Source organism: Homo sapiens, chromosome 2, assembly GCF_000001405.40.
Source record: "Homo sapiens chromosome 2, GRCh38.p14 Primary Assembly".
NCBI lineage: Eukaryota > Metazoa > Chordata > Mammalia > Primates > Hominidae > Homo > Homo sapiens.
The window spans coordinates 111,490,127-111,517,563 of record NC_000002.12 but is presented as its reverse complement, the minus strand read 5'-3'; the positions used below and the strand labels follow the sequence as shown (position 1 = coordinate 111,517,563).

General features: G+C 44.6%; 2 long non-coding RNA genes across 9 annotated transcripts in view, besides 1 other annotated feature; one reads left to right on the top strand and one right to left on the bottom strand.

Annotated features, from left to right (window-relative positions):
* Window positions 1-6,569: 6,569 nt before the first annotated feature.
* SOCAR (serous ovarian cancer associated RNA) lies at window positions 6,570-26,124 on the bottom strand. The gene is made up of 2 exons (NR_187145.1): window positions 25,902-26,124; window positions 6,570-6,940 (listed from the first exon to the last, which is right to left on the bottom strand). It is a non-coding gene; the product is annotated as a serous ovarian cancer associated RNA (long non-coding RNA).
* Window positions 21,898-23,097: an enhancer, noted in NCBI's record as "P300/CBP strongly-dependent group 1 enhancer chr2:112252044-112253243 (GRCh37/hg19 assembly coordinates)". NCBI's record gives its function as "activates an origin of replication core promoter dependent on BRD2, BRD4, P300/CBP, MED14 and CDK7 cofactors, with strong dependence on P300/CBP, by STARR-seq in HCT116 cells {active_cell/tissue: HCT116}" and the evidence as "EXISTENCE:reporter gene assay evidence [ECO:0000049][PMID:35650434]".
* Window positions 22,403-27,437, top strand: part of MIR4435-2HG (MIR4435-2 host gene) — a 299,296-nt gene continuing 294,261 nt past the window's right edge. For all 8 annotated transcript variants that reach the window (NR_136164.1, NR_136163.1, NR_136162.1 and 5 more), the window contains exon 1: window positions 22,403-22,679. This is a non-coding gene — a long non-coding RNA (MIR4435-2 host gene). The remainder of the gene's footprint in view (window positions 22,680-27,437) is intronic.

Genomic DNA, 27,437 nt, shown 5'->3' with positions numbered 1-27,437 from the left:
ATCTCCCTGCTCTGCCATGCACCCTCCTTCTTGCCTGCTCTTTCTTCTCCCTATGGCCAGCCCCTCCAGCCAACATACTTTTTATCTCTCTTTGTTTTGCAAAATCCTTTTCTCCTATCACTTCCATCATAAAACTAGAATTTGGCAAACAATCACATGTCGGCATAAAGCTCTTAAATTGACCTGCTTTAGATTAAAGCACAATATGGGTTTTATAGTTTGCCTCAGGTGACCATTTAAATGTCTTGAATAATGAAATGAAAAACTGGACAGACTAAAATAAGAGTCCTGTCTGCCTGTGACAGTGAAGAATAAGAGTCCTGTCTGCCTGTGACAGTTAAAGAATGATCCCTCATTGCCTCTCACACAGCTGCAGTCAGGGTTCCCACCACCCTTTCTGCTGATTCTGAAATCAGCCCTAGTTCATAAATTATCAGGGAATTTGGTGAGTTTTCTCTTTTAATGTCAGTCTGTTTATTTGACTGGTAGTTTCTGGCCTTAACACATCCCACTAATGTGTTGTTTAGTTGAGCACAATAATAAATAGAACTTTTGTTTACTTTTACATCCAAAGATAAATGTTGAGTGCTATTAAAAACTTTTCTAACATAGTAGGCCTCCAATGAGGAATTTTCCTTCAGCAAATCATAAAACTGGGTCTAGAAGTGCCAACCCAAGTAAAATTACTGATGAACTAATCATAGTTGTTATTTTTCCTTCATCTTTTCCTTTTTTTTTTTTAGACAATCTTGCCCTGTCACCCAGGCTGGAGTGCAGTGGCGTGATCTCGGCTTGCTGCAAGCTCTGCCTCCTGGGTTCACGCCATTCTCCTGCCTCAGCCTCCCGAGTAGCTGGGACTACAGGCGCCCGCCACCATGCCTGGCTAATTTTTTTTGTATTTTTAATAGAGACGGGGTTTCACTGTGTTAGCCAGGATGGTCTCAATCTCCTGACCTCGTGATCCGCCCACCTTGGCTTCCTAAAATGCTGGGATTACAGGTGTGAGCCACTGCGCCCGGCTCCTTCATCTTTTCTATGTGCTTTGTTTGACACTTATTGAGGATACAGTTGCTGAAGACCAGCTGAGTAGGACATAGGCTCTGTCATGCATTAACTCATCCACCCATTCATTTATTCACTCATCTATTGAGCATCTGCTATGTGTCAGGCTCTATGCCAAACTTTCTGTTCAGGAGCCAATATATCAATAACTACAGTGTAAGCTAAGTCATGCAATGAAAGGCTTAGAGAATAGACACCAAGTTGAATATTAACCCAAGTAAATTATTGGAAGATATATTAGTTATCTAAAATAGGCTTAAAACAATAAACATTTATTATCACAATTTCTGTAGGTCCAGAATCTGGACATGGCTTAGCTTGATGTTTATGGCTCAAGACCTCTTGAGGTTTCAATAAAGGTGTTAGTCAGGGCTGCAGTCTCATCTGAAGGCTCATCTGGTTGGGGGTGGTGTCTGTATCTATGTGGTTATTGGCAGGCCTTGGTCCTCACTACACTGGAACTCTTCAAAGGGTTATCTCATGACACAGAAGCTAGCTTTCCCCAGGGTGAAGAATGTAAAAGAATGTGAGAACTCTTAAGACAGATGCTATAGTCTTTTCTATAACTTAATTTTGGAAGTGATATTCCATCACTTCTGCCATATTCTTTGTTAGAATCAAGTCAGTAAATCCAGCCCAGATTCAAGTGAAAGGATTCCACAAGAGTGTGAGTACCAAGAGGTAGGGATATTGGGAGCCGTCTGAGAGGCTGCTTACCACAGAGGGCCAGCCAGTTAGGAAGTGGGTTCAGCTGCTGCTGTTAACAGGCTCGACCTAAGTGGCTTAAACACAGAAGAGTTGTTGTTGTTGTTGTTTTTTCTAATGAGAAATCTGGAGGCAGTCAGTTGCTGGCCTTGGCTCAAAGGCTGAGGGCACTGTGGTTCTTGTAGCCTTTCGCTTATGGCCCTAAGCTGCTGGAACTCTTGCCATCATGTCTGCATTCCAAGCAGCAGAACAAGAAAAGAACAGGGGGAGAAGAGAAAGAGGGCACCAGCCCACTGACTATCCTGTTCATCCTGGGAAGTACCACTCAACAAGCTCAACTCTCATTTCCACAGCCATCGCCAGCTGCTCAGGAGTCTGGGAAATGTAATCACATGCACCATTATCCCCAAGTGCACCACTGCCTCCAGCCCCTTTCCACCTTTCAGTTATAGCCATAAACATCCAGTTAGCCATAAACATTCAGCTAATGCACGTGCAGATTCTTGACCTACAGAAATTGTGATAGTAAATATTTATTGTTTTAAATCTATCTTAGATCACTAACATATCCTCTACTTAACATTTCACTTGGGTTAATATTCAGCTTAGTGTCTATTCTCAAGTTTTCCATTGTATGTCTTTGTTCGCACTCTCCTCATTGAAATATTGGCTCCTGATTAGAATGCTTGAGTACTGTTCTTTTATACCACCAAGCCTGCTCCTCAAGCCGATTTTGTGCCCTGCAAGCCAGCGATGGCTCTATTAATGGTTGTCCTTGTCTTTTATGAGTTCATGTGACTGGGTGGGGGAGATTCAACACCCACCCTCACGCTGCTCACTCTCAAGTAAACAAGTAAGCCAACATTAGAGTCTCAGGGCTATGAATGGGAGCACAGAAATCACAGTGCAACCTCCCAAGTACAGGTCAGGAAGCCTGGTTTAAATATTTGAAAGCAATTTGAGGAAGTTCCCAGTGGGAAATGAACTTGAGAACTAGGTCATTCATATGTCCATTCAACATCTACCTTCTGCTTATCTGGAGTGTGCATGGCACTGCCTGGGGCCACTGCAGTGAATAAGAGAGATGAGAACCCAGGCAACTCCGAGAGACCCAGTCTCACCTGCTTTGCTGGCAGGGGCTTAGGATGCAGTCACTTTCCATTAAAGTCAGAGTCCTGGAGTCCCATCTGCTTTGCTTCTGCATTCCCTACAATGATGAGTGGTTAGGAGTCCAGGTCCCAGAGAAAGACTGTCTAGGTGTGGGTCCCCATCTTGTCACTTCTGTGTCCCCTTGTGTGAGCTGCTGGACATCTCTGGGCCTCAGTTTCCTAATTTATAATGTGGTTGCCTGTCAGAGGATTACATGAGAAGATACATATTGCTTAGCGTAGTGCCAAGGGCATAGTAATAGCCCAACACTTATTAACCACGTTGATGATGGTTATGGAGATGATGGTGATGATGACAATGATGTTGATGATGACAATGGTGATGATTATGATTCAGTTTCTATTCTAAGATGTGGTTACAGTTTCCTAACTTTGGGAGATATGCCTATCTGTATATATCACGGCATAGTCTCTTTCTCTTATTGTAGAGAAAACACCTTCACATTATAGATGCACCGCTTGGCCTTCCTATCTCTCAGTGTAGAGGAGACTCTGGAATTCCTCTTGACTGGTCCAGATGCCCAGAAAATTCTACAGACAAGCAGCACCAAACTTAAGAGCATACATGTGATCCAAAATATTCTTTTAAAGTCAAAGCTGTCATTGCATTTTTCCAGAAATAAAATGATAAAAATTGTGCACAGGACTGCTTATCATACTTAACTCTTAATACAGCTGACCTTTAAATGGCATTAAGAGTACCAACCTGAGTTCTGGGTCCTAGGAACCAGGAGGAGATAAAAGATTAAGTAATAGGGAAGGAGAGGCCGGGTATGGTGGCTCACGCCTGTAAGCCCAGCACTTTGGGAGGCTGAGGCGGGTGCATCACCTGAGGTCAGGAGTTCGAGACTAGCTTGGCCAACATGGTGAAACCCTGTCTCTACTAAAAATACAAAAATTAGCTGTTCTGCAGACTTGGGTCTAGAGGTGATCAGTTTTTTCCCAGCCAAAGCCCAAGGGCAGCCTTGCTCCTCTCTCCCTCCCCTGGCTTATGTTCCTCTGTGTACAACTGTGTCCCTCCAGCCCATGACCTATAGAGAATGCAGACCATCCCTCTGCCAGTGTTGGAGACCAGATCCCATGGAAGGGCACTCATGTCCAGCCTGGGGCCCCCTGCCTTGGCAGACACTACTAGTTGACATAATCCAGCTACTTGGGAGGCTGGGACAGGAGAATTGCTTGAACCCAGGAGTCAGAGGTTGCAGTGAGCTGAGATTGCACTGCTGCACTCCAGCCTGAGTGACAGAGTGAGACTCTGTCTCAAAAAAAAAAAAAAGAGAAAGAAACAGGGAAGGAAAAACGATTGGAAGAAGATGAATATGCTGAGCCACATTTTGAAATTGAGAAGTCTATCTATGATCACTTGCACCTCTTCTCTTCTGGGTAGTGTCTACTTCCCCACGTCCCTCTGCCGTTCTTTTGCTGAAGCCATGCCCACCTTACCATGGGGTGCAGGGCAGTGAAGAAGCAGCAAGCTGCGAAGGCTGAGCCATACCTGGAAAGAGTGACTGCTAAGTGCATGTGTCCCTGGAGGCATTTGTTCCTTCACAAGGAAATGGTTGTGAACTCAAACTGGGTTCTAATTGTCAACATTCAAGGGAGTTGGCAAAAAGAGTCATTATTCAATAAACTCTACCAAATACTACAGTATGTGCCTGGCATGTTGTAGATGCTGGAGACACAGGAGTGAACAAATAAGCAAAGCCCCTGCCCTGTCACTGCATTTCTACAGAAAAGATGTTTTGCTTCAGGGAAGCCAAATCGCTCACCAGGAGCCTGGCCCCGAGTCCACTCTGGTGGTCAACACCCAGGGCTGCCCAGTGGGCTGTGTCTGCTGTCCCCCCGGTCCTAGTCCACAGGCTTTTTGAAATCTCCAGTGCGCTCACCATGAGGAAAGCAGGGGTGAAGTCTGCTGGGCAGCCTTTGTCATGTCTGTGATTAAGGACGACTCTTTTCTGGAAATTAAAATGAGCAGTCCTGCTATCTCACCGTACAATCACTGGCATAGTTTACTTTTTTATTCTGTGTCTGGATTTTCCCCCTGGGGCTGCAGCAGTAAGCCTGCTTCCTTGGTTCAAAGCCAGTGTGTGTTTCTACAAGAAAGAACTTCTGGATCAGCAGGGCCCCTTAACAGGCTGCAAGCTGGCTCTTGAGAGGGAGCAGGCAGCCAAACAATATTTGGCCTGTCCTTCCCCTCCATGCCAGCCTTAGTTCTGGTTCCTGCTCAGTAGGCAAGGGGCAGCCCAGGACTTCAGAGGGAACCTGATAACTTGTCTTTGTGTGATTAAGGCTGGGTAGCAGAGCCCACTGAGAACCAGCTATGCTTCACCATAAAAATAGAACTTAGCTGTGGGTACCAGGGAGTTTTAATAATGTGGAAAAATGCTTATGTTGTCATGTTAAGTGAAATAAAGTAGAGTCCTAAGCAATGTATACAGTGTAACTACAACTCTGTAAACAGAGAGAGAGCAGAAGGAAATATAGGAAAATATTAATAGTGTGTGGCTTTGGAAGGTGGGATTAATATGCTCTACTTGGCTGGGCACAGTGGCTCATGCCTGTAATCCCAGCACTTTGGGAGGCTGAGGTGGGTGGATCAAGAGGTCAGGAGTTCAAGACCAGCCTGGCCAACATGGTGAAACCCCGTCTCTACTAAAAATACAAAAATAAGCCAGGTGTGGTGGCATGCACCTGTAGTCCCAGCTACTTGGGAGGCTGAGGCAGAAGAATCACTTGAACCCGGGAGGCAGAGATTGCAGTGAGCCAAGATCATGCCATTGCACTCCAGCCTGGGTGACAGATGAGACTCTGTCTCAAAAAAAAAAAAAAAAAAAATACGCTCTACTCTTCTAATTTTCTAGGTTATCCCCAGGCAGCATTTATAACTTTTATAATCATACAAAAATAAACTTTATATTAAAATTTACATATTTTGCATATTTTAATACTTTTCCCCAGCTTTAAGAATATCTGATAAAAGAAATTTATGTTACTCTAACAAGCAGCTGCTATCTTGGTTAATTCATATTTTTTCACAATTAATAATATAAACATTAAACAGAAACTGGTGGGAGCAATTGTCCACTGGGTAATCAGTGGGCGAAACTGCCCATGAAATGAAAGCAAAACAAAAACAATATGAAAATAAAAACAAAAAATCCACAAACTACATCAGAAATGAATTTCCTCTTTGGGACATGCTGAAAAATATCCTGGGTAAAATCAAGGTATTTTGCAATTATTTTTCAAGTAAATATTGTACAGAGGGACGCAGTGATCAATGCTGCTTTCCTTTACTGCTTTGCAGGCCTGTCTAGAAACTTCAGTGGCCAGAGAGGCGGCCTGCAGGCTCAGGGATAACTGTCTTGCCAACAAGGAACTTGTTAAGTTCCTTGTTGCAGTTTCCTACTATGAAAATGTGGGGTAGTTTTGTGGGAAACTGTTAGTTCCCTAGTCAATTTCTGAAAGATCTAAGAGAATAAGGAAGTTCACCAAATCGCAAATTATGGTGGGGTTACAGCCACACTGCAGATTTTTACAATGTGGTACCCAGAGTTGATTAGGATGGGGCCCACTGTATCAATTACACTTAACGGTTCGTTGCATATAGCAGAAACCTACAGTAACAAAGGCTCGAATACAAGACATTTTATTGTTTCACATAAAAGAAATCCAGAGGATAGTGGGTCTGGGGTTACCTGGCCACTGCTCATCCCTGCTAACTCAGGCTCCTTCCACCTCTTCACCCTGCCTCTCCCCAGTGGTGGCCACCCCCAGCTGCAAGGGCGATAACACACATGGAGTTGTTCTAGGAAGAATTATTTTGTGCCCAGCTGAAAATCAGGGGCTTGATTATCAGGGAAGGGGGAGAACACATGTGGGGTTAGGCAATCAGCAGTCACTGCCGTGGCCATGACTGAAGCATGTCGAATGTTCTGAGGCCTCCAGGGGGTGCATGGCAGTCTCTCAGTAGTGTGCAACTTGGCCTTTCTCGACCCAGAAGCCTATAAACAGATAATAAAGCAATAAATTAGCTGCCACACACAGCTCGGTACCCTACAGTAGAACAGGGGCAGGATAATAGCAACAGCACCACCATTCTAAGAGGAGCAGACGGGAGGCACACAGGGGCCCCCGCCTAGCAATAAACCTTCTGAGCATGCAGTGGGAGGCCTTTCCCCCTGGTGTTCTGGTTTATCCCTGGGGAACCTCTCTACTCACTGTCCTCTGGGGCCCCTAGCTTGTGCTCAGAGAGACCCTCTGGTCTCTCACTCTGGATAGCTGTGTATGATATGGGATTAGGGACATGCCCTTAGTGGGGTCTGCACAGCTCCTCCTTCCCACTTGCTGCTGCTGAAGGTTGGAGGTTCCACCGTTGAATAGTCGAATGCCTTTAAAAAAAATTGAGATGTCGTGGGGCACAGTGGTTCACGCCTGTAGTCCTAGCACTTTGGGAGGCTGAGGCCGGAGGATCCCTTGAGCCCAGGAGTTTGAGACCAGCCTGGACCATGCAGTGAGACCTCAGCTCTACAAAAAAACAAAACAATTAGCTGGATGTGGTGGTACATGCCTGTAGTCCCAGCTACTCAGGAGGCTGAGGTGGGAGGATTGCTTTAGCCCAGGAGGTCGAGGCTGCGGTGAGTCATGAACTCACCACTGCACTCCAGCCTGGGTAACAGAACCAAACACTGTCTCCGAAAGAAAAAAAGAAAAAAAAGGGAGGGCGGTGAAATTCAGGTAACATAAAATTACCATTTAAAAATGAACAAATTCAGCGGCATTTAGGACAACCACAACATCGTACAACCACCACTTCTATCTGGTTCCAGAACATTTTCCTCACCCCAAAAGGAAACCTTGTACTCATTAAGCAATTATTCTCATTCCCACCTCCCCCCCAGCCCCTGACAACCGCTAAACTACTTTCTATCTGAATGGACTTGCCTATTCTGAATATTTCATATCAATGGAATCATGTAGTGTGTGTCCACTTTGCATAATGTATTCAAGGCTTGTCCATGTTGAAGCATGTATTAATATTTCATTCTTTTTATGGCTGAATAATATTCCAATTTATCCATAAAATATATTTTTAACTCATGGTTTCTTTGACAATTCAGGATCCACAAAAACACAGTCAGCTTCTGACCTAGTTGCTTCTCATCAGCTCCCTGGCAGCAGTCACACTGAATTCTTGCCAAGACCTATGCCTCAGACCTGCTTTATTGCTTTTCTTTTGTGCCCCTTCCCTCACTCTCATTTGATGGAATGGTGGCTACCTTGACTCTTCCGGAACACCATATGGCAAACGCCAGTCCTTTCCCTTCATCTCATTCTGAGCCGTTTCAGACCTTGACCACTCAAAGGCCAGCACAGTCTCATCTCTAATATTTGGGCTTTATAAGCAGTCGACTTTTCTGACTTTGCAAAGCCCTGAATTTCTGAACTCTATTCCTTTCCTAAGAACAACAATTCCGTTGACTTCTAAACAGCATTGGTTGCATCACCAAGGGGAAAAAAATAAACCAAAAAAACCCAAAAAACCCAAAAACCCCAAACCTCTGCCAGTTAAACCATGTCGTGCCGTATAAAGCAAGTGCCATTACAATGTGAAAAAGAAATATGCGCCGCAGAGTTGACGACGTGCAGTAAAACAGTACCGATATGAATGGCTGACATTAGTTGAGGTTCTACACTGTGTCAGGCATTGTGAATCTTTTGAGAGAGATGTCAGAATTGTTATCTTTCTTTTACAGAGGAGGCAGTGGAGGCAGAGTGAGGTTCACACCCAGCAACCCTCACTCAGAAGGCTTCTGCTTGGGTAGAGCTTGCATTGGCCAAACCTCATCCACTTGCCATTCATTCAGTCATTCAGTGACAAGTGTTTATGGTCACCTGTGGGAGTGTGTGTGTGGGAAGGGTGGAAAATTTCCCTCTTGGTGTTTTCAATTTAGTGGAGGAGTAAAGCCTTGCAGCAAAATATGAAAGATCATTCAAACATTAGGGACTCAAGTGAATGCAAAGGAGTTGGGGAAAGTTCCGCTTAGGAGGTGACATTTGAATCTGGTCTTCAAGACGAAGAAGGAATTTGCTTGGAGAGAGGGGCTGGAGGAGAAATGAGCAGGCTGGGGGTGGGGGGAGCACAGGTGTAGGCAGGGAGAGAAGAAAAGGGGCTTTTGGTTTGAGACCCTGCGAGGAGGCAGCATGGAGGAAGGGGCTGCAGGGAGCTTTGGGGTTGGGGAGAGGATGCAGCTGGAGGAGTCCCTGATGTCACTTGGGTATTATTAATGTCAATAATCAGCTTATATAGAATGACCTTCTCACTAGAATAAACAGTCATAACTGTGGTGCTTTAATCAACATGACAGCATTGGAGACTCTACTCAAACTCACTTGGGTCTAGAGGGGATCAGTTTTTCCCCAGCCAAAGCCCAAGGGCAGCCTTGCTCCTCTCTCCCTCCCCTGGCTCATGTTCCTCTGTGTACAACTGTGTCCCTCCAGCCCATGACCTATAGAGAATGCAGACCATCCCTCTGCCAGTGTTGCAGACCAGATCCCATGGAAGGGCACTCATGTCCAGCCTGGGGCCCCCTGCCTTGGCAGACACTACTACTTGACAACAGATACCCCTCTCCCCTTCTTGCTTAATTTAAAAAACTTCTATTTCAGATGGCATTGTGTCAGTGAAAAGATCACATTTTCTAGACTAGTCTGCAGCTAGGTGAGCCCAGGTGATCTAGTTCCATACGTGGAACCATTATGTGGAGTTTTCAGTAGGCTCCGTCACGGTGGGAAGAGATGGCGTTACACATTTTTCTGTCGTCCCTCACTTCCTCCTACTGTCAATATGGGGAATACGGACTTGCTGGCTGGAGTGCCAGCAGCCATCCTGGGCTGTGAAGCCACTTTGAAGATGAAAGCCAGGCTCTGGGATGGTGGATCAGGAACACAGGGGCCCAATTTCCTAGCAATGCTTTGGGGCTGCACCCTCGGCCTGTGCTTCCTATGCCAGGCTACTTTTACATGAAAGAGAAAAAGAAGTCCTGACTTAATGCATTGCTGTATTTTTCCAGAAATGTGCAGCCAGACCTAATGATAGGTGGTTTAGGGTGAGAAGCAGAGTAAGATGACAGAACTTTAGGACCACATGAAGGGAAGGAGAGGGTCCCCCAGGAAAGGGTGCAGTTTGTTAGACAGAACAATAGCATATCCGCTACAAAGAGCTGCCATTTGCTGGGCGCTAAGGGCCTGGCCCTCTGTGAACCTCACCATCTGCATCATCTCACTTCATCCTCACCAGGGTGGGGGCACGAGGACTCTCTCATGACCAGGGCTATTCTCAATTTACAAATGAGGAAACAAAGGCTCAGGAAGGGCTCTTTCTCAAGGCCACTGAGTTGGGAGCTACGTTCCACTCTGGGTCTGTTTGTCTCAGGGACAAACCTTGAAGCCACACAAGGGCCCCGAGAAGCTGTGCAGATGTGAAACCCAGAGTGGCCCGATCAGATCTATGACTTTGTGTCATCACAAAAGTGAAAGAAGCAGTTCACAGAAGGAGTGGAGTGTGCAGGTCAGAGGCAGGAAGGACAGGCAGACACTGTGATGATGATAGGCTGTGAAGAGGTGGGCGATGCCTGGGATGGGAGGGACTGTGTTGGACCCAGTGCTGACCTGAGAACCTCCTCTCAGGCCCTCAGTCAGGCTGGCCCCTGTTAGACATGAGATTTGACTCACTGGTTCCCATTAACAGCCACTAGAGATGAATGCACTCTATCAAGTCCATGTCTGATTAAATTCAACAACTCAGTAGTAGTGGTCAGGAAGTGTGCTGATTTTTTTTCAATACAGGTAAAGTTTTTAATTATGAACTTTTCAGAGGGCAAACTCAGATTGCTTAGGGTGTATTTGTCCTTGTAGTGTTTTTGAGGGAGTCATTAGGGGCATGGAATAATTAAGTGAAAATTAAGCTATGAAAGAATCACTCAGCTAAGAAACAAGATGGTAGATCAGGCTCCGTCTGATCTCTTGGCAGTATGCATTAGACCAAAGGGTTATTTAGGTGTCAAGGATTTTGTTTTGCCAGTTATCAAGCCTAAGAAACTTCCCAGTTACATCAAATCAAGCAAAATGATGAAGGCTATCATCCACCCTTGCTTACAACAAAAAGAAACCACTTATAAGTTCTTCCCGTTAGCCAAAACTGAAGAATTTAAACTGCCTTGGCTCTTAATAATAGTTTTACTTTATGGTTTTCTTGCTAGTATTTCAAATACGTAGTCTGTCTTCACCAAACTAGAAATAGTTGATACCAAGAAAAACGTGTTTGCCCGGACTGCATGATGTCATTGCACACTCACGGACCATGCACTCTTTAGCAGCACCCATCTAATTCCATGCTGACCTGCCTTCTCCATTTGTAGGATAACTGCAATACTCAGAAGCCGGCTGGTGGATCCCAGGCCTCTATCATTCAATTGCCATCACTGTACTTGGTGGGGCCTCAAAGGATGCTCCAGATCCCATTTTCCTGCTTCCCTTTTTGAAAGCATTGTCTATGGGTGCTGCACCCACTCCCTGCAGCCAAGCTCCTGTGCCTCACTCATGGAGGCTGCCGGGGCCATCTCCCTGGTCACCATGGCCTCCATGTGGCCAGGTCAGTGCATCCTGCTCTGCTCCTGTCTGACTTGACCTCTCAGCAGTGCTGGCAGGTGGACCTCTCCTGCCTTCTTGGTACGCTCACTCCTTGGCTTCTGAGCAGTGATTTTCTTGGTTTTCTTCCAACCTCACCCTCACTGGCTGAGGGTGCTGGGTTCCATTCTCATCTTTCTCCACATATTCTCTCTCTATCTCTCATCCAGGCCAGGTCTTTAATTCCATCTGTAGAACATTAACTCTTGAATCTGCCTCTAATATTGACTTTTCCCAAGAATTCTAAGCCTACTCAACATCTCCACGTGGATATCTGATAGGCACGTCCAAATTAAGATGGCCAAAACCAAATCTGGGATTTCACACCACCCATCTCTGTAAGTGGCACTCCTCAGTTACTCAAACCAAAAATCGAAGGGTTATGCTTGATTCATCTCTCTCCATCACTGCCCTCGAACCCAATCCATCCAACAACTCTATCTCCAAAACATTACTCAAACAGGTCCTCATCTTTCCGTCTCTGTTACACTCATCAGACCCCAAGGGGACCCACTGATCTCCCTTGTTTCCACTTGGTCCTACACAAGGGCTTCACACTTAGCAGTAAGAGTTATCCTCAGAGGCTGGGCTTGGTGGCACATGCCTGTAATTCCCGCACTTTGGGAGGCTGAGGCAGCTGGATTTCTTGAGCTCAGAAGTTCAAGACCAGACTGGGCAACATAGTGAAACCCTGTCTCTATAAGAACTACAAAAATTAGCCAGCAGTGGTGGTGTGCATCTGTAGTTCCAGCTATTTGGGAGGCTGAGGTGTGAGGATCACTTGAGCCCAGGAGGTTGAGGCTGCAGTGAGCCATGATCACGTCACTGAACTCCAGCCCGCAACAGAGCGAGACCCTGTCCAAAAAAAAAAAAAAAAGAAAACAGAAAAAGTTGTCCTCAGAAAATTCAAGTCAGATCATGTCACTCTCCTGTTTAAAAGCCTCCAGTGTCTCCTCATCACACCTGGCATAAAATTCAAGCTCCTTCCTTGCCACCTTCTCCAGCCCCATCCCATCTTCTCTTGCTGTTGCTTACTAAGCAGCAGCCATCCTGGGGACTCTTACTTGTTCCTTTGTGTCTTGGGGTCTTGGCGACAGCTGCTCTCTTGTCCTGGAATGCTGCTGACTGGCTCCTGGACATCATTCAGATCTCAGCTTAAATGGCACCTCTCCAGAGTGACCTTCCTAGATGACCTGCCCATCTCAAGTATTTCCCTCCTACCCTATGCTAATTTTTTGCACTGTTCAATTCACTAGCTTGTACTTTTCTCATGTACTTATTTTCTGTCTCACCCTCCTAGAACATAAGCTTCACGAGAACAGGGATCTTTTGTGTCTTCTTCTTGCTGTGTCCCAGGACCTGAGTTGGAGCTTGGCATCTGGTGTGTATTCATTAAAGATTAGTTGAATGGTTGAGTCCCAAACTTACTGTCTTTTGCTCCATGTGTTCTGATATCTTCTTTATTATGGTCTGCTTTGTTGAGTAATGTGTTATGATCATCGAGATTTACTCATAGGCACTGAGTTTCAAAAGATGATGCATATTTAGTGTATGATTCATTTATTTAAAATTCTAGACTTTTGACTGCAGCCTGTGACTCAAATACTGTATTGGTGGAAAAACTTTCAAATCATCAACCACACGTATTTGGGTTTTACCAGCTCCATGGCACATACGAAAAATAGCCAGTACTTAGAGATTGTTCTTATTATCATCCTAGACATTTGTGGATATTAATTTTTAATTCTTATGTAACCCTATGAGTATGAAACTCTTATCCCCATTTTGTAAATTGGCTGAACGTGTCAGTTCTCTAATGCTGTGTAACAAATTCCTGCAAATGGAGTGACATTAAAACAAACCCCATCTATGAGTTCACAGTTCTGTGGGTCAGAAGTCTGGGCAGACTCCACTGGGTTCTCTGCTCAGGGTCACACAAACCAAAATCAAGATGTCAAAGGGGTTGGGTTCATGTCTGGAGGCTTTAGGGGAAAATTGACTTGCAAGCTCATCGGAGTTGTTGGTGGAATCCAATTCCTTCTGGCTATAACCTAGAGGTATCTGTTTTACTGCTGGCTGTCAGCTGGGGGTTGCTCTTAGTGCTTAAAGACCTCCCGAATTCCTGACACGTGACCTTCTCCTGCTTTGCGTCTCTGACTTCCTCTTCTGCTTTCAGCCAGAGAAAACGCGCTGCAATTTTTTTTTTTTTTTTTTTTTTTTTTTGAGACAAGGTCTCATTCTGTCACCCATGCTGGAGTGCAATGGCATGATCACAGCTCACTGCAGCCTCTCTGAGTAGCTGGGACTACAGGCATGCACCACCATGTCTGGCTAAATTTTTAATTTTTTTTATAGGTAAGGTCTCACCATGTTGCTAGCTGGTCTTGAGCTCCTAGATTCAAGTGATTCTTCCGCCTCAGGCTTCCAAAGTGTTGGGATTTCTGGTGTGAGCCACCACGCCTGGCCAATGCCTTGCTTTTAAAGGGCTCACCTGACTGGGTCAGGCCTACTCATCTATTCTCCTTATTTTGTGGTCAGTTAACTTGGACTTTATTATACTTACAAAATCCTCTCGCAGTATTACCTATTATTAGTGTTTGACTGAAAAAGCAGAGACAGGAATCTTGGGGAAGTATCTTTAGAATTCTGCCCACTGCCCTGAGGTTCAGAGAAGTTAGGTGATTTATCCGAGGTCATACAACCAGCAGTGGAAACCAGATTCAAATCAAGGCATTCTGGCCCCCAGAGTCTATGACCTTGAATAATACCCTGCAGTGTGACGAGAATCCAGTGCTGCATTGGAAATTCTGCTGGGCAGATTTTCTGACAATCTGATGTAGCCATGCAGGTGAGATGCACTGGGCTACTTTGTTCATAAGGACCGGAACTATCCATGGTGCCTTGTCTCCTCACTCCCATCACCTCCGATGTAACTGAAGACAGACATGACCAAAGAAGTCAGGACTCTGCTTTTCAGTGGATTGAACCCACGGATGCTGCACCATTTTCCACAAGTCAGCAGCACCATTTCCAGGTTTTTGCTGCCCCCAGAACTTGGTTACCCCTCAAATCCTTTCATCATCAGCATGAGTGAAATCAATGTGACTCCCATTAACAAGAATATTATTATTGTGCACATGAGAATTAAGCCCAAAATGCAATCTGTGCTCACACAGGTTTGATGATGGATGGATGCAGTGGTGTGTTGGCAGTGACTTGTTCTGGGTTTTGGAACTAATTTGTTCATCTCTGCCCAACTCACTTTCAGTGAGAGCATGCTGGTAGTTTGCAATTGGCAATTGGGGAGAATTTACACTAGAGAAATCAGCAAACACTACAAATTAGGGTTTGCTTTATTCATTTATATTTGAAGATGTGATTGCTAAACATTTGCCAGCACACCTCTGGATGGATGGATGGTAGATGGAAGCGGTGAGAGCCAAGAGAGCTTGGGGATTCCAGCTTTCATAACCAGAAGCATGGACATTCTTGGAATGCTTATGGGGGTGTGGAGGGAGGACCCCCAGCATCAGCCCAGGAGAATGAGTCTTGTGAGCTGGGAGATGAAGTCTCTAAATAAGTGAGAAGGGAGGTGATTTGAGCTAGGAATCTTGGCAAATAGCCCCAGGGCAGAGGCAGAGGGGAGGAGAAAAAAGAACCATCAGAGCCAGGAAGATCAGTGGAAAACTGGAGGCCTCACAGAAAGCAAGGGCCTTGCTTGAGCAGAATGATGCCTCTTGAGTTTCTTAAAAAGGAAAAGGTAGGGGTAAGGGGCTGTTTAATCTATTAATACTTCAGCCCACTCTCAGCACCCAAATAATAGGGTGGGTGCATCAAATCTTGGTAGCCATATACATAAGAATACTTGTAGGGGTTGTTTAATTTAGGGCCTTATAAAGACAATAAAATGACTTATTGAGAATCACTAAACCAACACCCAAGTATTTAATGAAAATACTTTTTAGCTCATATAGCTTGAGACACCAAACTATGACTATATAAATAGCTATACCATGTTTATAGATTGGAAGACTTAATGTAGTAAAGAAGTAGATTCTACCCAAATTCATTGATAGGTTTACTGCAGTTCCTTTCAAAATCCAAGGGGGGGACATTTTGTAGATACAAATGAACTGATACTAGAATTTATATAGAAAAAAACCAAGAATAGCCAAAATAATTTTGAAAAAAGAAGAATAAAGTTGGAGGAAACATACTACCTGATTTTAAGATTTAACATATAGCTGTATTAATCAAGATTGTGGTGTTGGGAAAGGAATAGACTGGTAGATTAATGGAACAGAATTGAAAGTCCAAATATAAATGCACATAATATGGCCAAGTGATTTCTCTTTTTTTTAGACGGAGTCTTACTCTGTCGCCCAGGTTGGAGCACAATGGTACAATCTCGGCTCACTGAAACCTCCCTCTTCCAAGTTCAAGCAATTCTCCTGCCTTGGCCTCCCGAGTAGCTGGGACTACAGGCGTGCACCACCATGCCTGTGTAATTTTTTCTGTTTTAGTAGAGATGGGGTTTCACCATGTTGCCCAGGCTGGTCTCAAACTCCTGACCTCAGGTGATCTGCTTGTCTTGGCCTCCCAAAGTGTTAGGACTACAGGCGTAAGCCACCATGCCCAGCCAGCCAAGTGATTTTTTTTACAAAGTCCCAAAAACAATTCAATGGAGGAAAGATAGACTTTTTAACAAATGGTGTTTTATTGGATATCCTCAGTCAGAAAACTCCTCAATCTAAACCTCACATATTGTGAAAAATTAACTTAGAATTGATAATATGCCTAAATATAAAATGTAAAACTCTAAAACTTTTAGAATAAAACAGGAGAAAAATCTTCATTACTAGAGTTAGGCAAATATTCCTTAGAAGACCTAAAGCACTATCCATAAAAAAAAGATAACATCAACTGGATTTCATCAAAATACTTTTATTCTGCAAAATATATTGTTAAAGAGGATGAAAAGACCAGATATAGACTGGGAGAAAATATTTGCAAATTACATATTTGATCTAAAAGGTTGTACCTAGAATGTATAAAGGTGGCTCTAAACTCAACAGTAAGAAAACAAAGAATCCGATTAAGAAGTGGAGAAAAGAATGAGCACACGGAAAGATGCTCAGCATCATTAGTCATTAGGGACATGCAAATTAAAGCTATGAGGAGACACCATGACTCACATGTTAGAGCAGCTAAACTAAAAATACTGACAATACCAGCAGGGGAAAGGATGAGGATCAACTGGTCTCTCATGCATACATTGCTGGCGGAAATGCAAAATGGATTGTATGGTCACTTTGGAGAAAGTTTGACAGTTTCTTATAAGGGTAAGCATACAGTTACCATATCACCCAGCAGTAAATTAACTATTTACTTTAGACAAAAGAAAAACTTACATCCATACAAAAACATGTACACAAATGTTTACAGCAGTTGTGTTTGTCACAGCCAATGTGGAAAACAAAACAAATTTCCCTCAACAGGTGAATGGATGAACAACCTATGGTATATCCATACAATGGAATAGTTCTCAGACATCAAAATAAATAAAATCCCACAACATCACCAAAGGAGACTTTAGTTTCATCTGTAATGTTTTAAGGTTTTAAGTAGACAGACTATTTTCATGTTCTATTTGTTGTTGAGTTTTTAAAATTGATGTTTCTTTTATTACAAAGTATGAAAACTACAAGAGCATACCTCCGTGCCTGGTCAATGTCCTGTCATGTAGATAGATTCTCCCTCACCATAGCCAAACCCTCTCTTTGAGCAGTAGGTTCTAGCCTTCTTTCTACCCCACCAAATTCCTTCTCATTCTCTCTTGCATCATCAATTTTTCTCTTTCTACCAAATTATTTCTATCAACAAGTACACGGATGGGCTATTATTTTTCCCATCTTAACAAATAAGGAAATCTCTCTTGACCTCATTTCCCCCTCCAGCTATAGCTTTATTTCTAGAAAGCAGTGTCTGTTCTGTCTTCAATTTCTTTCCCCTTTCTCTCCTCACTCAATTCAGAGTTTCACCCCCTCTTCCCCAGCAAATCCTTTTTTTTGCCAAATCCATGTATACTTTTCTGTCTCCACCTTACATGACCTTTCAGCAGTGATTATGCAGGTGATCAGTCTCTCCTCCTTGAAGCACCTTCTTCACTTGCCCTTGAAGGTCCTACACTCTCCAGGCTTCCCTTCCACCTCACCAGCCCTTACTTCCCCCACTCCCATCTTTGCTGGCTCCTCCTCACTCCCTGACCTCTTAAAGCTGCAGGGCAGGGCTCAGTTCTTGCTTTCTTTTTCTACGTTCATTTCTGTGGTGAACTCATGCAATTTCCTAACTTTACAGACTACATTAGATCCAATTTAAGATGTCCTCAATTATAAGATGCACCATTAAGTTAAAGTTCCACTAAGGAAGAAGAAAGCACTGCCAATTAAACTCTTTTCAAACTCTTTTTTTTTTTTTTTTTATATGGCTCTGTCATCCAGGCTGGAGTGCAGTGACAGTCTTGGGTCACTGCAACCTCCACCTCTCAGGTTCAAGCGATTCTCCTGCCTCAGCCTCCCCAGTAGCTGGGATTACAGGTACTCACCACCATGCCCGGCAAATATTTGTATTTTTAAGTAGAGACAGGGTTTCACCATGTTGGCCAGGCTGGTCTCGATCACCTGACCTTGTGATCCACCCACCTCGGCCTCCCAAAGTGCTGAGATTACAGGTGTGAGCCACTGAGCCCAGCTGCCAATCAAACTCTTACATCCTATCATCCCAATTTCAGATGTCTCTTTGTTCTCAGAGTCCCTAAACTGCTCTGGAGTGAGTGATGATGCTTCTCCTTCCCAGCACCCCTCTTGGGGAACAGGGTTCGCACCCTTCCTTCTATCTCTTTCCTTCTAACTCTCTTCATCACCCAGCCTGTGGAATCCTTATATGAGCTTGGGATGGTATCGCCTGTTTCTACACCTAGCTTTGCCACATATGGTTGGGCACATCACAACTTGTATGGATTTACTCCATTGGGTTGTGCAGTATATAACCTGTACAACTATACATTGTTGCCTGACTTCACCCATTCCTCCAAGGTTTTTTATTTTTCTCTTTATAATACTGTCTTAGTCTATTTTTTGTTGCTATAACTGAACACCTGAGGCTGACTAGTTTATAAAGAAGATAAATTTATTTTTAGCAATTCTGGAGTCTGGGAAGTCCAAGGTTGAGGGGCTGCAACTGGTGAGGGGCTTCTTACTGGTAGGGACTCTCTGCAGAGTCCTGAGATGGCTCAGGGCAACACACGGTGAGAGGACCCACCAGAGACGGCCAAAGTGGCTTTCATATGAGACCCACTTTTGTGATAACCCATTAATCCATTAATTTATGAATGGGTCCATTCATGAGAGCAGAGCCCTCATGACCCAATCATCTCCGAAAGGCCCCACCTCTCATATTGCTCCATTGGTATCCAAGTTTCCAACACATCAACTTCTGAGGAACACATTTAAACTACAGCAAATACCTTGTCCTGAACTTTTGAAACTTTAAAGCAAGAAGGAGACTCTTTAGTTCTGTGCATTCTTCCCTGTTATTTCTTGCCTGAGGCAATCGCTGTAGCCTTGGGGTTTTTGCTCCAGTTGGGCACCCCTGAGCTTACCACGGTGGCTAGAAAAAACATGCCCTTACTGACATAGGCCTGGGAGCCCATCTAGGAGCCATTCACAGTGGCAAGGGGTGGCCCTTATTTTGCATAGCCAATGAGAAGACTCCCCTGGCTATGAGGGTGGAGTCCATCTTAACCAAATGTCAAGGTTGCTGCCAATGGAGGAGGAATGGAATGAATGTGGGGGAACCCATTGGGTCTACTCCACAGGGTCAAAGGCAGGGATAGTGTTACTGGGATGAAAGAGACTTGAGCCTGTGTTTAGGTCTACAGACAGGAAGCGATTAAAGACGTTGGAGGAAAGAGCCTAAATTTGGTTAGGAGCAAAATCCTAGAGAACAAATGAGGTGTACGGGGGAGGGTCTAGATTTGAAATGAGGGCATGAAACTTCTCCTGGATGGAGGATGATGAAGAGACCTGCTATGAAGGTGTAAGTGAAGGAAGGGATGTGAGGGCCTCTAACAGTCTTGTGTCCTCCAGGTAGGAGGAGCAGCGCAGCTGGAGATATTGGTAGTGTGGACAGCTTCATGGTACTTTCTGGGAAGTGTCCAATGTGTAATTTTAATTGGCTCTTTTCATTAAATAGAATTGATATTATTTTAAGAGACAGATCACTTGAAAATTAGGATTTTGATTCACTTCTCAAATGAAGAGAAAGTGCCTTTGCCTCATGTATGTGTGCAGAATTTGGGAGAATACATCATGAGCTCAGGGAATGTGTGTGCGAAGATGTTTAAAAAGTCACTTGTGGGAATTTGCCTGGCTTGGTGGTTAGGAATGTGGACTCTGAAGCCAGGAGGCCTGGGCTCACATCCAGGCTTTGCAGCCTTGGGAAGGCTCCTGAACACCTCTGTTTCTTTGCTAAAAAGTGGGCAGGATATCACTATTTTTGGTATAGACCTACCGGAAGGATCAGAAGACTTAATACCTGTGTGTGTTTTGGAGAGTTATTGGCACATATTAGATAGTTTTACTGTGAATCATCATTATTTATAATAATTCTCTGACATGCTGGAATGTACACTGTCTTTAGAAATGAAATTTGTTTTGTTTTCCTAATTTCGTGCAACCTACATTTTTCCAGTGCTATTTTCTTTGGGGAAAGAGCATGCAGATGTTCCGTGTTTTCAATGTAGCGGTGTATAAAATGTCATCATTGTTTCCTTTCTGGTGGAATATTCAGAGCCAGCTTAAAGATAATCTACTCCAGAAAGTTCCATATTAGCAATTATGTGGGGGCTGGTGCTCATATGCCTCAATGAATGATTTATTTATTAGTATATTGGGAATGGCCTCCCTCTTCTCACACTAGCACCTTTTCCCCACTTTCCAGCCCATTTCCAAATGAGAAGGGCTGAAGTCAATCAGGAATTAAGATTTAGCATTTGTGGGATTATCTTCGAATGCGACACTGGGGGGGACACAGTTTCACTCACTCTCCATGGTGGCAGTCCAAATTGCTCTTTCGGGACCCTGGCTGTGTCTAAAGCCTCAGAATGATCCAGAAGGCTCCTATAACAGTGCCACTGTGGAAGAAACCACTTCTAATATGGCAGGAAGGTGTGGCCCTGCTTGGAGCCCATGTTTTCTAACTATTTCACGTTTCTTTCTTTCATCCCTGGTGTTATTTTTTGAAATTAATTTTTATTTTCAGTTCTCCTAGGAATTAATGAGTTAACTTAATAAAAGTAAAAGTCTTCATAAAGAAGGTAAAGGCTGGCTTTCCACATAGAGAACAAACATAACAACCCACATCCTCTGCAGAGCTCCTGGTCAATGCATTCTTCTAGTGGGGCTGCCACGCCCCTGGGGCCTCAGGCAAGCAAGCCCCTTGTGGATGACAGGGGCTGGGCTCAAAGCAGTCTCTGGGGCTGTGCCTCCTTCCTGTTCTCCACTCTTCTCTAAAGGAAATGCACTGCAATGAATTGCACAATACAGACATTCCTAAATTCTGGAAAACCAGCAGGCTTTGAACTCTCCTGGGGGAAAAAAACCATAAAACACAAAACTGCAAGGAATGAGACTATTTGGCCAAATGGCCAATATGCTACAACTTTCATAGGGAACTCACCGCACTTGGTATTGCCTGATGGAAAAAAATGCCCTGAATTTCCCGATAAAAGATTTGAGATGTGGCAAAGGAATAAATATTTTTTCCCTAAGATAAATCTAGCTGTAGGTGAAAACTGGGTCTCATGCCTCGGACAAAATATTATTTCCTTATTTACTCTAAGTCTATATCAGAATATAGCCTACATAGCATCAGGTACTAAGCCAAAAAAGGCTCCAAGGGCACCATTGTTCATCCATGACTTTGACTGTGTCACCCCCCAGAAACCTTGAGTTGGGCAAATGAAATCACAGTAGCCTTTGGTGGCTTCTTGAGCAGCTGCTAAGGATCACATGGATTCTGCTCACACCCAGTGCTTCTCATAATTTAAAAATGCTTGAAGCTGTGGGAGGCTGCCCGGCCCTCTGCATTATTCAAAAGAAAACCAGGAGGCAGCGACAATTCTTGATTCTTGCAGATAAACATTCTCCAACAACTATTAAGAGTTGGATTGCTCTACCTTCATTTAATTCCTTGGTGCTTTACTATTTGAATCTAGAATATTCTTGAAGTCTGAAAGATGGATAGAAAAGAGGTAAGTCATGTAAACTTATAAACAGGGCACGAACCCCGCTAACAGACAGCTTTGAAGAGATGATGATTTTAGATCTTGTGAATTGTTATGTCAGAGGAATACATGCAGAAGAAAACAGGCACCGAAATAGTTATTACCAGAGCAAAGTAAATCTGAACACCTAAAAGAATAAGAAAGTATCTTATGCTTCTCTCTACTCTGAACTGCCTTGAAAAGAGCAAGAATTTCATACATGAGCCTGTAGCACATTACAAAATCTGAGTATGTATTTGAAATTCAAATGCACACAAAGTTCATGCATTTTATTTTCCAGTTGTTCTCAAGACTCCTAAATAAAGCATTTCCCCTGTGTGGGCGACCCCTGGGTCCCATGTGGGGTCAGTGTTTGGGTCTCTCTGAGAGGATCAGGAAGGCTGCTCTTCCAGGAAGGGCTGCAGGGACCCTGGGAACCGGACCAGTCCAGCTCACAAGTATGAAGAGAATGTCGGGAGAGGAAGTGGTGGCTATGAGTCAGCATGAGTCATCTCGTTCCAATGAGAATGAAGGCTGAGGTGTGCGCCTTTTTTTTTTTTCCTTCTTAGTCGTGTGTACATCATTGGGAATGGAGGGAAATAAATGACTGGATGGTCGCTGCTTTTTAAGTTTCAAATTGACATTCCAGACAAGCGGTGCCTGAGCCCGTGCCTGTCTTCAGATCTTCACAGCACAGTTCCTGGGAAGGTGGAGCCACCAGCCTCTCCCTGGTGAGTATGTTTCTGTCATTTTTAGGGTTGCTTCTGCAGTTTGCCTTGGAGTCTGGGCTGTGGGAAAGGCTGCTGCGTCCTGGTGAGGACACTGCGTTTCTTTCAGACTTTGAAGATCTGTCGTTTTAGAAAAGTGGCTGCCTCTGTCACCAGCCCCATGGTTACTGTCCTGTAGTGTGACTGTCAGGAGGTGTTTCTCAGTCCTTCGTTGTAAGAATGTAGATGCCGGTTGCACCTTCTGTTGTCTTGGAAGAGACTGCAGTGCTTGGCTGGAAAATAAGCTGCTCGGGACTCCTCTGAGAAGCCAAAGTGAAGCTCAGAGATGGAAGTGGGTATACTTGTGCTAACCCAGGGTTGCTGAGGTTGGGTGAGCTTCCGCTTCTCAGAGGTGGAGGAGAGGCAGCTCCTGAGCCATTTCTGGCCTCGTGGTCAGAGCTGCCCAATTTCAGTGTGAGAAATACCAGAGAGGCAGAACTTTGGCTGCCTTCTCTAAAAGCATATGAATGATTGCAGGAGCGTATTTTACGTCCTTTCCTTTTCCTTAACGTTGAAAGTCACAAACTGTAGTAAAATCAGGAAGAACGTAAAAATGCTGGGGGCCAGCGCTGGGGGTGGGGGACTGGGGAGGACTGAGGAGGGGGCCACTCAGTCTTTGAGGCCTGACTTGATCTTGATAGGTATTTCTCAGGCTGTTAGTATTCCGATGAAGCTTAGCTTTACTGTCAAGTAAAATACAGGAAACATTTTTTTTTTAATGTTGTTCTAGTTACTGTAAATGAAACGGTTAAAATGTCATAAATACCTTATGATAAACATTTTTCAAATTTGCTTAAAAAGCAACACATCAGTAGGCAGGGTATGACAGGGAGCTTTTTCAGTACAGTCATTTGAGTGTGTGGGCTTCCTGAGTTAATAATGAGTCAGCACCCAATTCTAAAATTGGAGCAGCTAAGAGAATGTTCAATCTGCTCCTCAGCACAGCACGGTGGCTGGCCGGCCCCCCGTAGGAAGGCTTGGCTGGTGGATCTCGGGTTAAAATCGACTTAGGATGCCCCCCTTATGTAAGTGACCAGCTCCCAGCTTGGGTCCCAGCTCCTCTGGGCTTCTGCTGAGAGACCCCCTCTGCTAAGGGATCTGTCTCTGAGGCAGGAGCTAACACATTTGGCTTCCAACCTTTGGCTAATGTTGACGATTTTTAGGTTGTCTTGAGGCAACAGGTTGAACATAGTTTCTGAAATGAAAAATCTAGTGTTTATTAAGGCCAGGGCAGCTGAGGGCTGAGCCTGCATCTGGAGCCTTGAGATGTTCCGCTTGCACGTCACCCTCGCCGAGGGATTGGGCGGGAGAGTCGGTCACCGAGTGAACTTCAAAGTTGGCGCTCTGCATGTGACGTGTAGCGTGGGAAGATTAAGTCAGCTTAAAATGAGAGAACAAGATTCCAAGGAAGAAAACCTCCCCAGAACCTTACTCGTTTATAGATAAAAGAAGATAAATATTGAGAAAATTAAAAAAATAAAACGAAATAGTTGGGCTGCAAACCAGCAGCTCTGGGACCAGATGCAGCCCTGGTGAAGGCATCCCCCACCAGGTTCTGTTTGGCCTGCTCAGGATTGTTTTTTTGTGTTGAGATAACTGTGGGTGGGGTCCACACTCTCCGGATCTCAGGCCCTGTCACACCCTAATGCCACAAAGCTTGGAGAGTGCGATTACAGCGAGGCTCAGAAGCCAGGCTGAGGGCCTGCCAGCCTCGTGGGGCTGCTGTGTGGTCCCCATGGGTTAGCATCTGCCCGGCCGCCGGAACAGGGCCTGGATGGAGAAGGAACTCCATCAGCACTAACTCTGCTAGACTCTCTTATTAATCTGCCCTCTGAAGGCATTTGGGCTTGTGGCCCTTGAGTTAGTTCCATGGCTTTTTCAAGAAAGATCCTGCAGTTCCAATGTGAGCAGCAGTTGTTTCCAAGGCTAACAATTTCACGCCAACTAGAAGCCTCCACAAGTCAGGTGCCAGGCATTTCTAAGCCAGTAGAGCAGCTCCGCTTGTTTCTCTGGGTGAGTCCTCTCAGGGTGAGACCCTGTCTCCTTGTAAGCAGTCGGAGACGTGCCACCTTCATGGAGACGGGAGCCAATCAAAGGCAAACTGCGTTAGACAGCTCTTCCATGCGGTATGGACACCAACATTCGATCATCCTTGTTTCAGAGAAGGTGCCGGGCCCCAGACATGTGCTTATGACTGGGTCCCATGGCCTTCAATCCTTTAAAGGGTTTTAAGGTGGCTGATTTTTATCCCAGACATTGATCATGTTTTTTTTCATGCAGAATTTGGGCAGTTGTCTGGACATTAGGAGTTGAGTCACCTCCTACCCATGAGGAACAAGCCTGTGGGGGGACTGATATTATCACTTCTGTCATCAAGAAATAAGGCCGCAGGCATCCCTGAATATAGAGCATTTATTAATCGAACTGTGAAAATGAAACACAGACAGTGATGACAGCTGGAAGTTGGCCAATGTCCTGTTGTCATATTGCCCTCAGCCTAGGGACTGGCCTGTGGCTCACTGACCCTGTCTCCCACTCTCCACCTCTCATCAGCACCTGGACCTGGTGCACCTGGTCTACCTCATGTCCAGTGTTTTCCGCAGTACCTGACTGGTATCCCCACCCTTGGTTGTTGTGTGGTGAGCTCGTCCCTATGTTGGCAAGTTACTTAATTCCTAGGTGTCCCGCCTTCCTCACTGTAAAATGAGAATAGTCATAGCACGAATGTCATGAATCCTTGTGAAGATTTTATGATTAGCACACGAGTTACAAGGAGACACGATAACTGTTACGTACGTACTCATTCGTTCGGAAATACAACAGACAGCTTAGTATCTCCACCCGGGTCCCTCTGCCCTGTGGGAATCCATAAAGAATTGATTCTCATCCCCCAGAAGTGAGATCCCGCTTGTGTCATCAATTACATGGCATGTTCTGCATTTACAGGACATTTATTTATTAGGTAAGTGGGGAATCCTCCTTGGTTCTCTCCAGGAAAACCTGGAGTTCTAGATATCATCATCATCATCATCATCACTGTCATCATCATTGACATCATCACAATAAGTACTCCCATTGTATTCAGCCCTAACCGTATGGTAGCAACTTTATGGTATTCCCTTTAACCTCCCCCCACCCCAATATCCATCCTGGAAGATGGGAAGGATGATAGGTTTGTTGACTCACTCAAGGCGGTGGGACTCTCCAGCAGGTATCAGGCACAGCATCTGCTTCAAAGAACACATCGACGACAGGGGAGCCCCTTGCACTCACTCAGGACAGGAGAATCAGGAAAAGCAGCAGATCTGCAGGGCTTTGTGTGTAATCCAACCAGACTGATGCCACAGGCCAGGAAACCGAGGACGGTTGGCTTCAGACCTACCCTGGAGTGGAAGCAGCTGGATTCTGTCCTCACGCTTCCTGTCTAAAGCCAGCTAGAGTAAATTTCTAGTCATCTAGATTCTGGTTATTTGGAAATCATCACAGTATCTGGAGATGACTCATATTGAAAAAAATTAAATAAGATACACTTAAAACTTAACCCAGGGTGAACATAACATGGCCTTTCCTTGTCAATTCTGAAGAAGATCATTCAAGTTTGTGCAGTGCCTTAGAAGCCAGATGCTCTCTTCCATTCTGCCAGGGTCCTAAAGAAGTACTACTGTGTCCTTTAGATCACTCTGCCTTGATCACTCTGTCCCGTCACTCTGCTATTTCACCTGTCAGTGAAATACCTGGTATCGTCCTGCCAACGTGAAGCATTGAATGCTTTATACGTCTCCATCCTGATTGTTTAGGCTTTGAATGCTGAGAAGTATCTGCACTTTGTTGGTCAATTGTAGATGGTGCTAATTTGTGGGGAGTTTTTCCTGCAACTTCCCCCTGTGCCATAATCCAGAGGACCTCCCTCTGCCCCCAGTGCTGTAGGCTAGGCAGCTATGGGCCTGGCTCAGGGCTGTCGGGCAAGGATTGGACTCTCTATAGGTTCCGTTGGGTTCTGGTTAGATCACAGAGCTCAGGCAAGGAAAAGCCGACAATAGATCAGAAGGAAGTTGAGCGCTCAGGAAGGAGGAGTGGGCAGGATGCTTGGTGGTGTCAGAGGATTCCTTCGGATTAAAAAAAATAGATGTTATTGCACTTTGTGTAATCAGAAAAGCTAAGGTTGACAGCAGATCTTATCCACTGTGGTTTTCCTGCTTATCTTTTGTTTTAGGAGTGATAACCCTGCGAGTGAGGGCTTCTGTTACAGGGTCTTGTAGCTCTTCTCTTCATCCTGCCCTTTAAAACATTTATTGGACTAAAAATCACAGGATTTTTAATGATGACAGAAAATGTATTATTTTAGCTGTTCTCACTGGACAAATCACTTACGGAGTGTTGATTAATACATTGATAAGTTTCTATCAATTCAGCTAGATACAAGGGAAAATGTATAAAATAGCAAGGGCTCCGAAAAGAGTCAGGCTTAATTTCTCTTGCACAGAAAAAGGATTCTATTGCTCTTTCTGTTCCGTCCTCAAACAGGAAGCAGGTTTTCTGGGACAAGGGTCAACAGGCAGCCAGTTCATCCATCTGCCTACTCCGCCATCCTTAGCACTGGCTTCCTTCCTCCAAGTTATCTTATGCTTCAAGAAGGCTGCTGGAGCTCCTGCCATCACTTCTGCATTCCAGACAGAAGAGAGGAAGGAAGTGGGGGGCAAAAGGCAAAGCCTCCTAGATGTC